General features: G+C 41.0%; 1 long non-coding RNA gene across 4 annotated transcripts in view; it reads left to right on the forward strand.

The window, feature by feature from the left end:
- The window catches only part of LOC101928046 (uncharacterized), a 60,419-nt gene that overhangs the window by 6,651 nt on the left and 39,258 nt on the right, over positions 1–14,510 (forward strand). For all 4 annotated transcript variants that reach the window (XR_007064236.1, XR_943988.2, XR_943990.2 and 1 more), the window contains one exon: positions 13,827–13,891. This is a non-coding gene — a long non-coding RNA (uncharacterized LOC101928046). The remainder of the gene's footprint in view (positions 1–13,826; positions 13,892–14,510) is intronic.

A 14,510-nucleotide genomic window follows, 5' to 3' on the forward strand; every position in this document is an offset into this window, starting at 1 on the left:
AAATCTGAAATGCAAGCCTAGAATTGAGTGCCTAGGAAAATAAACCCTCACTTTAAAAAAGGAAAAGGTGGTGAAATAAAACCTTTTCAGACAAACAAAAATAAACAATTTACTACCAACAGACTATCAGTGAAAGGATTCTAAAGGGTATATTTCACACACACACAAAATTAAACCCATTATGATGTAATATTGGAGAAGGAAGAAAGTAGTAAACATGGCCTGGTGCAGTGGCTCATGCCTGTAATCTCAGCACTTTGGGAGGCTGAGGTGGGTGGATCACTTGAGGTCAGGAGTTCAAGACCAGCCTGGCCAACATGGTGAAACCCTGTCTTTACTAAAAATACAAAAATTAGCTGGGCATGGTGGCAGGCACCTGTAATCCCACCTACTTGGGAGGCCGAGGCAGGAGAATTGCTTGAACCCGGTAGGCGGAGGTTGCAGTGAGCCAAGGTCGCACCACTGCACTCCAGCCTGGGTAACAGAGTGAGACTCTGTCTCAAAAAAAAAAAAAAAAAGAAAATGGTAAACACCTGAATCAATCTAAATAAAGATTGGCTGTAGAAGACAATAATATTAATAATATCTAATAGGGGGGTAAAAAATTGGAAAGATAAAACTAATATCCTGAGAAACCTTTATGTAAGTTAGGATAAATCAGAATTAAAATCTTTTAATGTACTTATATTATTTTTAAAGTGGCTAAAGATATTAACGTTGTTGCAGATGTTAACGTTACCCTTCAGTATTTATGGTTCTCTTCTCCTTTGGGGCATGCAGGGTTCTGGACCTCCTTGCCTACTTGGAAGTTAGCCTTGCCTAAAAACTAGCTTTGATCTGAAAGTGTCACTTGCCAGAGAGTATTTTAAGACCTAGTTTGAGTAACCATTCTCTTTCACTGCCACATTTACCAGAGCCTGGCACTATTCCTGTTGAACCTTCATAGCCTGTAATCCGGAGTGAAATCTTGGGTGAAATCTAATTCCTTCTGAAAACTCAGAGTTATTTGTGTGACAGTATGACTTGCCTTATCCCAACAGAAACAAGCATTGGTAAGGGAAGCAGTGAAGAAATGCATATTGAAGGTGAGAAAGATGTAATGCCAAAATAACTTGGGAGTCATACTATGTATCCAATAAAGATATATGTAGCTCTAGAGAAACAGAATGGAAAAAAAACTTTACTAGTGAGTGTTAGGAACAAAAAGAGATGTAATTGGAGTTAGAGTTCCATGTGTTCCACCTCAGAATCATGGCGGGAGGAGAAAGGCACTTCTTACATGGTGGCAGCAAGAGAAAAATGAGAAAGAAGCATTGTTGTTGGCTGCATTTGGCCATTTCCAAGTTCTGTAAGGAATTTGTTTGCAAACAGGAATAAAAGCAAATAGAATACAAACTCCATGAGCTTTCAAGAATAGAAAACTAGTTCACCACCCCAAAAAGTAAAAGGTAAATGTAAGAAAATCTTTGAGAAGCAAAGGCCGATTACAACTCAGCCTTAAGGCAGAGGTCAAGCAGTATAGACATTATACCCTTGTGAGAACCACCAGATGGATTAAGGAGGGATCTCAGGGTGAGGATGGTTTGGCTGTGTCCTCATCCAAATCTCAACTTGAATTGTATCTCCCAGAATTCCCACATATTGTAGGAGGGACCCAGGGATAGGTAATTGAATCATGGGATCCAGTCTTTCCTGTGCTATTCTCATGATAGTAATTAAGTCTCACAAGGTCTGGTGGGTTTATCAGGGGTTTCCGTTTTTGCTTCTTCCTCATTTTTCTCTTGCTGCCACCATGTAAGAAGTGCCTTTCCCCTCCTGCCATGGTTCTGAGGTGGAACATGTGGAACTCTAACTCCAATTAAATCTCTTTTTGTTCCCAGTTTCAGTTATGTCTTTACAGCAGTGTGAAAATGGACTAATACAGTAAATTGATACCAGTAGAGTAGGGCATTGCTGAAAAGATACCTGAAAATGTGGAAGCAACTTTGGACCTGGGTAGCAGGCAGAGGTTGGAACAGTTTGGAGGGCTCAGAAGAAGTTAGGAAAATGTGGGAAAGTGTGGAACTCCCTAGAAACTTGTTGAATGGCTTTGCCCAAAATGCTGATAGCAATATGGACAGTAAAGTCCAGACTGAGGTGGTCTCAGATGGAGATGAGGAACTTGTTGGGAACTGGAGCAAAGGTGACTCCTGTTATGTTTTAGCAAAGAGACTGGCAGCATTTTGCCCCTGCCCTAGAGATTTATGGAACTTTGAACTTGAGAAAGGTGATTTAGGGTATCTGGCAGAAGAAATTTCTCAGCAGCAAAGCATTCAAAAGGTGACTTGGGTGCTGTTAAAGGAATTCAGTTTTATAAGGGAAGCAGAGCATAAAAGTTTGGGAAACTTGCAGCCTGACTACGCACAAGAAAAGAAAAACCCATTTTCTGGGGAGAAATTCAAGCCAGCTGCAGAAATTTGTGCAAGCAGCAAGGAACCTAATGTTAATTCCCACAACCATGGGGAAAATGTCTCCAGGCCATGTCAGAGACCTTCATGGCACCCCCTCCCATCATAGACCCAGAGTCCCAGGAGGAAAAAGTGGTTTTGTGGGCCGAGCCCAGGGTCCCTGTGCTGTGTGCAGCCTAGGGACTTGGTGCCCTGTGTCCCAGCCACTCCAGCCGTGGCTGAAAGGGACCAACGTACAGCTCGGGCTGTGGCTGCAGAGGACAGAAGCCCCAAGTCTTGACAGCTTCCACATGGTGTTGAGCCTGCAGGTGCACAGAAGTCAAGAATTGAGGTTTGGGAACTTCTGCCTAGATTTCAAAAGATGTATGGAAATGCCTGGATACCCAGGCAAAAGTTTGCTGCAGGGGCAGGGCTCTTATGGAGAACCTCTGCTAGGGCAGTCTGGAAGGGAAATGTACGGTTGGAGCCTCCACACAGAGTCCCTACTGGGGCACTCTAGTGGAACTGTGAGAAGAGGGCCACCGTCCTCCAGACCCCAGAATGGTAGATCCACGGACAGCTTGCACTGTGCACCTAGAAAGCTGCAGACACTCAATGTCAGCCCATGAAAGCAGCTGGGAGGAAGGCCGTACCTTGCAAAGCCACAGGAGCAGAGCTGCCCAAGACCATGGGAACCCACCTCTTGCATCAGTGTGACCTGGATGTGAAACATGGAGTCAAAGGAGGTCATTTTGGAGCTTTAAAATTTGACTGCCCCAGGCCAGGCGAGGTGGCTCATGCCTGTAATCCCAGCACTTTGGGAGGCCGAGGCAGGCAGATCATGAGGTCAGGAGATCGAGACCATCCTGGCTACAACGGTGAAACCCCATCTCTACTAAAAATACAAAAAATTAGCCGGCGTCTGTAGTCCCAGCTACTCGGGAGGCTGAAGCAGGAGAATGGCGTGAACCTGGGAGGCTGAGGTTGCAGTGAGCCGAGATCGCGCCACTGCACTCCAACCTGGGCGAAAGTGCGAGACTCCGTCTCAAAAACAAAAAAAGAACAAAACAAAATAAAATTTGACTGCCCCACTGGATTTTAGACTTGCATGGGCCCTATAACCCCTTTGTTTTGGCCAATTTCTCCCATTTGAAATGGTCGTATTTACCCAATACCTGTACCCCCGTTGTATCTAGGAAGTAACTAGCCTGCTTTCGATTTTACAGGCTCATAGGCAGAAGGGACTTTTCTTGTCTTGGATGAGACGTTGGACTGTGGACTTTTGAGTTAATGCTGAAATGAGTTAGGAATTTGGGAGACTGTTAGGAAGGCATGATTGGTTTTAAAATGTGAGGACATGAGATTTGGAGGGGGGCGGGGGCAGAATAATATGGTTTGGTTGTGTCCCCATCGAAATCTCAACTTGAATTCTATCTCTCAGAATCCCACGTGTTGTCCCTTGCTATTCTTGTGATAGTGATTAAGTCTTACAAGATCTGATGGGTTTATCAGGGGTTTCTGCCTTTGCTTCTTCCCCATTTTTGTCTTGCTGCTGGCGCATAAGAAGTACCTTTCACCTCCCACCATGATTCTGAGGCCTCCCCAGCCATGTGGAAATGTAAGTCCAATTAAACCTATTTTTGTTCCCAGTTTCAGATATGTCTTTATCAGCAGCATGAAAACAGGCTAATATACAGGGCAAAAAGCCAAAGTTGAGGGTGTGGTACCTAACAAACTGCTTCATTCAATAAAACAGCTCAGGGTAAAGAGCTCTAAAGTGTGTGTCTTTCCCGGTGACATCTAATAGCTGAGAAGGCTGCTTAGCCCACAAGTAGCTCTGTTTTCCTCTATTTCAGATGTGGCCAACAAGGATAATGAAAAAGGAATAACTTTTCAGAATGTAGAGTCAGGGCCACAGAGAATAATGGAAAAATAAGTCCCTCCACCCACTAGAGAGTAGATTTAATCAAGGAATATTCACATAAACTTCCCATCCCTGCAAGGATAGAGGCCTTAACAATACTCACCAACTGGAATTTCAATTGTTATGGACCAGCGATTGTTATATCATGGAGTTTTTCTTTTCCAAGTGGAAGTGTTTTTCTGGTTATGTTGTACTTGTTTTGTCATTGTACATTGGGTGCTTGTAATGAATCCAATTTGTCTTTTTGGCCCAACAGGCTTATATCAAGAGTAACCAGGCCAAGCGAGGTGGGTCACACCTATAATCTTAACACTTTGGGAGACCAAGGTGGGAAGATTGCTTGAGCCCATGAGTTTGAGACCAGCCTGGGCAACATAGCAAGACCCCATCTCTTTAAAAAAAAAAAAAAAAGTGAATTAGCCAGACATAGTGGCTCATGCATGTAGTCCCAGCTACTCAGGAGGCTGAGGTGGGAGGATCTAGGCTGCAGTGAGCCATGATCATGTCACTGCACTCCAGCCTGAGTGACAAAGTGAGACCTTGTCTCAAAAAACAAACACACACCATATCAAGATCTGATGTAGAGACTGTTGTGCATCCTCTATATTTCTCCAAAATACAGAGGAAACCTGACGCAAAGCTAAACTTTCTATCTAGATGGGACTTTTGGGTTGCCTTTTTCGAGGTGAGTGTTCTGCATGGGAGAAGGTGACTCAAAACTTTGGTGAGCAGAATGGCATCTTCTGTGGTAGACATTACATCTTTTCACCAATATTTCAAGTTTTCTTCCCCTTCCACTCACACAAGAAGATTGAACTTCCCTGGCTCCCATGAATTTGGGTGTGATCATGGAACTTTTGTTCAATGAAATTTGAGCAGAAGTGACCCAAGTCTCTTCTAGGCAGACACACTTAAGTGCCACTGCAAACTCTGTTCTCTCTTTCTGCTACTACAACTGGTGATGCTCCCACATGCTGGATCCTCCATCCGCCTATATATTATAGAGGAAAAATGGGAACTTTGTTGGTCTAAGCTACTGAGAATTTGAAATTGTGTATTCCCAGTGAATAATATAGCTTATCCTAATAAATACTGGTATACAAGTTAAAATACATAGGGAAGTAACTTAAAAGGATATAGAACATAATTCCAAATGCTTAGAGAAGAAAAGGAATTTAAAAATTTAAAGAGCAATCAAGAAGGCACAATAGAAGAAAATGAATGCAGGAAGCAATATACAAAGAACAGCAAATAATATGGTAGAAATACATTTAAATATATTATCCTGACTTTATAAGGTCAGAATCATAAGTCATCTGCAAATATCAGTGACTTATGGAATCCAGGGTTTATTTCTCACATCACACGGTAGTCTTCAGTTAGCTTTAGCTATTCAATCTGGGACACAACGAAAGAGCAGCCTCAGTGTGGAATACTGCAGGTATTGTGGCAGAGAACAACTCAGCTTTTGAATGTTGATTCAAAAGCCTCTAGTCAGGCCAGGCATGGTGGCTCACGCCTGTAATCTCAGCACTTTGGGAGGCTGGGGCGTGCAGATCACCTGAGGTCAGGAGTTCGAGACCAGCCTGGCCAACAAGGTGAAACCTCATCTTTACTAAAACTACAAAAATTAGCCGGGTGTGGTGGTAGGCACCTGTAATCCCAGCTACTCGGGAGGCTGAGGCAGAAGAATCCCTTCTTCTGCAGTGCAGTGAGCCAAGATCACACCACTGCACTCCAGCCTGCAGAACAGAGTGAGACTCCATCTCAAAACAAAACAAAAAAGCCCTACTCAGAAGTGGCACATTTACTTCTACTCAGTTTTAATTGGTTAAAAAAAATCACATGGTCAAGCCTATTAATGGGTTTACATGTTAATGGAGCTGGAAATTTATACTTTAGCAGGGATATAGCAGAGAATATACTTTTCAGCATGGAAGAGGCAGTCCTTGCTAGGAAGGGTCAGTGAATATTTTGATAATAAAAATTTCTACCATACCAAATATAAAACGTATCTTAATAGAAATTGTCTAAACTATCCAATTAGAAGTCAAAGATGTCAGACTGGATTAAAAATAATACAACTCTATGCTCTTTGTAAGTGCCTCACCTATAAAACTATAACATAGGGACATGGGAAGCATGAAAGTCAAAGCATGGGAAAAATAGATTAGGAAAATACTAAACAAAGAAATATGGTGTAGCTATGCTAATATCAGACAAAAAAATAAACTTTAAAGCAAAAAGCACTTCTAGAAATATAGATGGTCACTGTATAATGATAACAGCTTTAATCCATTAGGAAAATATAACAATTCTAAACGTCTATACATTTAATAACAGTTCAAAATATAGAGACAAATTTACCATCACAGAGGAAGATTTTAACTAATTCCACATAAGAAATCAAAGAGACAAAAAAAAAACACAAGAATGTAGAGAATCTGAGCAACACAATTAACAAGTTTAATGAAAACCGTATTCAACAGCTGCAGAATATACATTCTTTTCCAAAACAAAATATTTGTGGCAATGCATACAACTTAATAAATGTTTTTAATTAGTATCATACAAAATACTTATCTGACAGCCATAAAAGTAAGTTTAAAAATCAGTAACAAAACGACAAATAGAAATCCCCCCATGGGTGTTTAGAAATTTTTAAGTGTATTTGTGGGCCAAAAAATTCATAATGGAAATTAATTCTTAGAACTGAATGATGAAGAATGTTGCTAAAGTCTCCCTTTGAGCAAAATGGATCATTACATATTCTCAAATAAGCAAAAAGGCTCAGAATTATGAACTAAGAATTCCAATTTTAGATATTAGGGAGAAATTACTGAATGAACTTTACAAAAGCAGGACAGAGATAATCAAGCATTTTATTAAGAGAGAAATTGCATGATTACCTGAGAAATCTGTGGGGGAATGAGGAAAACAGAAGAGGTCAAGGGAAGCAAGTCTATAGTTTCAGCTATAGCATTAGCCTGAAATGTCCAGGAGCTCCGAAATACTGAGGGATCATTCCTACCTGGTGGCAAGGGAGTGAGGCTTTTTTTGTACCTCCATATCAAGCATCAGTCAGTCATTGTTTACAGGCTGTTACAGAGATGAGTGCATAACTTCCAGACACCTCCTGGTGGTGTTGCTTCAATCTGCCAAGGGCAATCCTCCTGAGACTATTGCAGGTGTGAGCTGTTAGCAACAGAACCTGCAGCAGCTGGAGAATGGCCATGCTGAACCAATGGAAGGAAACCCAGGAGATCTGGACAGAACACCAGCGTTGTCTGCTATGCTTCATTCCTTGTATCACTCAGGTCCACTTCCCTCACACATTAGGTTCCTTTCATGCTTTTACTTCTCCAGGATTCTGGTTGATTACACTTTCTAGGATATCTTAAAATAGAAAGTTAGTAGGGGGTTGGAATATGATCCCAGAAGATACAATCCTGAATGCCATAATCCTGAATATTGAAATCCTGAAAGATCAAAATCCCTAAAGTCTAAATCCCTAATGTCTAAAATCCTGAAAATCACAAACACAGGACAGTTGCATACATGTTAAAACCAAATAAAGACATGCTATTGTCTTTATTTGGAAATTAAGTCTTGTTTAAAGATATGTCTATGGGTGCCAAATTGACAAGGATTGGACTGGTGGACTTAATTTTAGGTGTCAGTTTGACTGGATTAAGGAATACCTAGAAACCTGGTAAAGCATTATTTTGGGTGTATCTGTGAGGGTGTTTCCAAAGGAGATAGAGTGTGAGCCTGAATGGATTAGGTGGGGAAGTGTTGGTGGACATCATCCAATAGGTGAGGGGACCAAAGAAAACAAATACTGAAGGCAAATTGGACTCTCTCTGAGACCTGGGACAGATTTTTCATCTGCTGCCTTGGACATCAGAACTCCAGGCTTGCCAGCCTTTGAGCTCCAGGACTTATACCAGCAGCCCCCTGGGCCCTGAGGTCTTCAGCCTCTGATGGAGAGTTACACCATCGGCTTGTCTGGTTCTGTGGCCTTTGGACTTGGTCTTAGCCCCACCATCAGGATCCCAAGGTCTCCAGCTTGCAGATGGCCTGTTGTGGGATTCCTCAGTCACCATAATTGCATGAGCCAATTCCTCTAATAAATCACCTTTCATATATCTACATCCAGATCCTATTGGTTCTGTCTAGAGAACCCTGACTAATGTAGATTTGGTAATGGGGAAGCTGAGTATCATTCCTTCTTACTATATTCCTTACAACACAATGGAAGAGATCTGTGAAACTGTTCCCTTGAAATAAGGCTGTGATAAGTTAAGTGTATGAGGCTACTTAATGTTGAAAGATAAAAATTTAAAAGCTAATTCTAATTGGTGCTTTGAAAGCAGAAAATCACTTAATTGCAACAACTGAGCAATAACCAGACTTTCAAATGGACAGCATATAGTTAGGAAATGTGTAGACCACAACCTCTCTCAAAATACAAGTGCAGCAAGTATTTCAACGATCATAGAAGTAGTGAAACTCTAAGTGGAACATAGAAGAAATCTTCCTTGTCAAATGATTCAATCGTGTATGACTTCTGCCCCTTCACACATAGTGCCATGCTTCCCTTCAAAAAATATCCTTTGTCAGAGAATTAAAAGAATTTAACAACCTTAATAACCTTCTAAACCAAAGACACTAACTGATACTGAGGTTCCTCCGCATCTTACAAAATGCATGAAATGGTGAACTATTCTTGATTAGGGATTTGACTGTCAAAGAAGATAGACTTTTTATATTTATCACTGAATCTAACAGAAAAACTAACACGTTTTACTTTGGCTAATAGATGGTACTTCAAAACTGTCACCATTGTTTTTTATCAACTAGATACAATTCATGACCCTGTTGGATCAGAAAATACTAAAACTTATCCACCTACTTACATATTAATGACTGGAAAAGTGAAGTAAACACTTATTTAAAGATTTGGTGGACTTCACAGAAGAAAATGGATTTCTTTTCCCTTTTCCTTTTTTTTTTTTTTTTTTGAGACAGGGTCCCCCTCTGTCACCCAGGCTGGAGTGGAGTACAGTGGTGCGATCTTGGCTCACTGCAGCCTAGACCTCCTAGACTCAAGCAATCCTCCCACCTCAGCCTCCTGGGTAGCTGGGACTACAGGGGCAGGCCATCATGCCCAGCTAAATTCTTGTATTTTTTGTAGAGGATACAAAAAATTGTATCCTCTACAAAATACGTTAGCCATGTTGCCCAGGCTGGTCTTGAACTCCTGGACTCAAGTGATCCACCTGTCTTGGCTTCCCAAAGTGCTGGGATTATAGGCATGAACCACTGCCCCTGAGCAGAAAATGAATTTCAATTTAATCTCCAAACTATAATGGCAGATTTGGAATTAAGTGCAATCAAATCTTCTAAAAGTGAATTTCAAGGTGTTACCAATAAAGTTTGTTTTTTTCATTCAGCCCAAAGCATTTGGCAGAAAATTCAGGTGAGTGGATTGGCCATGTGATACTGCAAGATGAAAACTTCAGTTAAAAATGTGTCATTTGGGCCAGGTGCAGTGACTCAAGTCTGTAATCCCAACAATTTGAGAGGTCAAGGCGGAAGGAATGCTTGAGCCCAGGAGTTTGAGATCAGCCTGGGCAACATGGCTAGAACCCCATCTCTACAAAAATATACAAGTTAGCCAGGCATGGTGATGTGTGCCTGTAATCCCAGCTACTCGAGGCTGAGGTAGGAGGATCAATGGAGCCCAGGAGGTCAAGGCTTCAGTGGGCCGTGATGGAGCCACAGCACTCCAGCCTGGGTGACAGAGCAAGAACCTGTCTCAAAAGAAAAAAAAAATATGTCATTTGCCTGCATTGGCCTTCCTTCCAGCCAATGACATACCAGAAGCTTTAATAAGTTAAATTGGAATTGACCTGAAGAATATAGTGAAGTTATTGACTGGTTCAAAAATAATTATTATGAGCGTGGTAGGATAAGAAGACACTTTATGCAAGGGTGTTGCTATTCGATCACAAATGTTGTTTCTGCCAGATTTGTAGTCTGTATACAAGTGCATGGGAAATGGATTTCTGAGTGCCCAAAACAACATGGAAGCATGGCATGGAAGATGGGAAGTTTCAAAGGGAATGCTTATGTTCATGTATATTGAAACACAAAGAGAATTTCAAAAAGAGCAGCACCACATAGAAAATGTGAGTGTATTTTCTGAGGAGAGTCATGCCCTAAGAGAAAAAAAACAGCTATTTATTGTGATGCAAGACTTCAAAACATAATGATCATGGAAGTTGGCCAGCTCTTATGAACTACCTCTGTGCAATTACCCATAATCTATTCCTGTAATACACTGTTTCATTTGTCTAATTTTCCTTTTTTTTTTTTTTAGTTTTTTCCCTGCTATTTTAAATTGTCATCATTATTTTAAAAAATTTACTATGATGGCCAGGCACAGTGGCTCATGCCTGTAATCCCAGCACTTTGGGAGGCCAAGGCGGGTAGATCACCTGAGGTCAGCAGTTCAAGACCAACCTGACCAACGTGGCAAAACCCCATCTCTACTAAAAATACAAAAATTAGCCAGGCATGGTGGCGGGCTTCTGTAATCCCAGCTACTAGGGAGGCTGAGACATGAGAATGGCTTGAACCCAGGAGGTGGAGGTTGCAGTGAGCCGAGATCACGCCACTGTACTCCAGCCTGGGCCACAGAGCGAGACTGTCTCAAAAAATAAATAAAGTTTGCCATGCTGTTATATCTTCGCATCATTTCCAATACTGGAGGTATAAATTGTGTAAAGACTTTTAGAGTTCTAATTTGTTTTATGAAGTTTTTGCAAATTTGACTCCACAAAGATGCATTATCACAATGTTGACTTTGCGTGCAAACATTGTGCGTGTACATAAAAACATTGAAAGCTCCGCAATAAATGAGATGCCCTTTTTGCCCATCTACATTTGTGAAAGATAAAATTTCTTGAGATCTTGGCTCTTTGGGGTCTCATCAAAAGACTTAGGTTGTCCGTCACGATATTTCATATTACTGCAGTTATAAAAGCTATTTCTTTACCTAGGTTATATGTTGTGACTGTCATTAGTGTACCCATCATTAGGTAACCTGAGTGTTTTTACTTGCAAAAATGTTATTTATGGCTTATTTTATTGTATAAAGTGGCTAATGAAGTATTCTCTCATGTTTTCATGTTTCATGTTTCTCAAATCCTTTTTTAAAAATGTAAATAAATATACTTTAAGGAATTTTTTATTATTTTTTCCAGAATTGTATTTTTAGGATTTTGATCTTTCAAGGTTGTGACTTTGGGGATTTGGGACTTATAGGAGTTTTTCTTTTTGGGATTTCAATATTCAGGATTGTATCTTTTAGGACTATGATGGGTTCCTAGTTAGTGTGATGAAGCTTATAGCTTCCACTGCTGCAGTTGGTCCTGAGATCAGAACTGATACTGTTTCCTTTCTTTACTGCCCATTCTCTTTCTCTCTCACCCTTAGCTGGCACTTCTGCTGGTCTAGGTGGCTTGCCTGGTGGTGTCTCTTGAGGGGGATGAGATTTTGGTTACCATGAACTTATCTGACCATAGTTTGCTCTACTTGCCAATTTACAGTTAAAATAGGGGTTGGCATTACCAAGAGATACCCCAAGTGGCTCATGTGAGTGCTTAATATACTCTTCCCTGCCACCATTATGTAGCATAATAATAATCATGAATCCTCATGGTTATCGAAGACAACTACCCCTTCAAGTACGGTAACTCGTGTCTTGCTGGTGTGCTGGCACAGTGGACCTAAAATGGTTAGTGGCAGCCATGGCTTTAAGATTAGTGGAACCATTAATATGTCCTCTAGTAGAAACAGTCCCCCTTCTACAAACCAGCACTTCTAGTTCTTAAACTAAAGAGCTAGAGTTTCAAAATTGAAAGCAAAACTTTCCCAAGTGGGTTGCTGGCACAGGGCCATCCTACCTCCCAACCCTTGGCTCTGAGACTCCATATTTTATTGAGAAAAAGAATTACATAAGGACCACTGGTTTAATGGACGAATGGCAAACTTTTTCTGCAAAGGGTGAGACAGTAAATATTTTAATCTTTGTACAGCATATGGTCTGTGTCACAGCTACTCACCTATGCTGATGTAGCATAAGAGGAACCATAGATAATATATAAATGATGATTGGTAACTGTGTTCAATAAAACTCTGTTGATAAAAACTGCATCAAGCCATATTTGGCCTAAGAACCATTATTTGCAAACCTCTGATTTAATTTGTATACTGCATCCTGAAGGATGGTGCTTCATCTTTGTAGGACAACATCCCCAAGCTGTGGCCACAACTGCATTTTTTAGACGCCATTCCATTACTCTATTAGGCTAGTGTCCTGAGAGGTGAAGCAAGATAGTGGACTCCACTACTCTATTAGGTAGACTCTTACTGTCTGTGTTACAGACAATGTGGATGCAGTAAGATCAGCAAATTACACAGCTATTTGCCCACTGCGGAACCTCTTTTGTCATAACTTTTGTTCCTTGAATCTGAAGTAATAGTATATGAGAGATCCTATGTTAGTTAATCAGATACTCTATGAGCCCATGAACAGAGGTGCTAGCCAAGTCAGTACAGGCAGGAAAAGGTAAACTCATACATAGAAAACATGTCAATTTTAGTCAAAATGAATTGCTGCACTTTCTAGGGTGCAAGGGGTCTTAAGTAATCAAGTGTCACTAATAGCTGGTTGGTCTCCTCAAAGATTCATGCACTAGTAAGGGCTCAGCATTAGTCTCCGTCATTGACATGTAGGGTGGCAGCAGTAGCTAGGTCAGCTATGGTGAGAGGGATGGCCTGCTTTTGTGCCCATGCATAGCCTTCATCTCTACCATTATGCCTACTCCATTCATGAGCCCATTACGTCAGCACTGTAGTAGCCAAAGACTGTGGCTGGTTGATGCCTGCACTATAATCTTCTTACTGGTATTTGCCAGAGACCCCCACATGGTCTCTCTACTAGAGATACCTCCCAGGATCACTGCAGGGTATAACTTGTAAGCACCTTCTGGTGAGGCAATTCCAATCAAACAGGGGTGTGTCTCCTGAGAATGAGGCAGGTGTGAGCTATTAGCAGCATCACTGTAGCATTTAGGGAATGGGCACAAGCCGGTAAAAAGGATCCCAGGGGATCTAGGCAGGGCACCAACAGTATCTGTTACATTGACCAAGCTGGGCTTGTCTCAGGAATGGAAGGTTGGATTAACATTAGAAAATTAATTTATGTAATTCACCACATTAGCATTTTTAAAGGAGAAATATAGGATATGCACCTCCATATATGGGGAAAGAAACATTCAGTTATTCAACACCCATCTAGTAGAAACTGTGGGCAGACCAGGATTAGAAGAAGTAGGTGACGATAAACACCATGATGGCATCTGATATGGGTATATAAAACAGATTCTATTTTATTTTTTGTGCAGGGGGGAATCTGGAATATTTCAAGATAAGGTCCAATTCTTCCATTGTCTCGTAATCCAATGCAGAGGTAAGTAGGGGCCAGAGCATTCTTGGATAGAGTTGTGGCTCTGCTCTGAGTGTAAGGGAGATGGGTATTCTGTAGCCTTGCTACAGGCTTATTGTGTAAGAGAGAGAGTGGCTTTTAGTGCAGGAAATACAATTAGGACTTATGTAGCAAGCAATGGGTAGATACTAGCTGTTCAGTGATTTGTGATAATGCCCAGCCCCATTGCTATTCTACTCTCTATGCAAGCATCAGAGCAGCCATGTATGCAGCAAATAAGCAGTCAGGACCTAGACACCAAGAGGTCTAGGGTTAGATGCCAGCCAATCAGTTGTCATGGAACATCGGCTGCTTTTATTGATCCGTCTTTAAGACAGCCTCACTGAGATATAATCTACATTCCATAAATTTTCGTGTTTAAGTGTATAATTCAGTGAATTTTAGTATATTATCAGTGTTGCACAATAACCTAATTTTACCTTTATCACACCTGAACTTTAGAACATTTCCGTCCCCCTAAAAAGAGACCTTATGTCCCTTTACAGTCACTCTCTATTTCCACTCCTAATCTACTATATCTATAAATCCATTTTTTCACATTGAATGTAATTGGAATCATCCAATATGTGTTTTGTGACTGGCT

Source organism: Homo sapiens, chromosome 14 (genome assembly GCF_000001405.40).
Source record: "Homo sapiens chromosome 14, GRCh38.p14 Primary Assembly".
NCBI classification, from domain to species: Eukaryota; Metazoa; Chordata; class Mammalia; order Primates; family Hominidae; genus Homo; species Homo sapiens.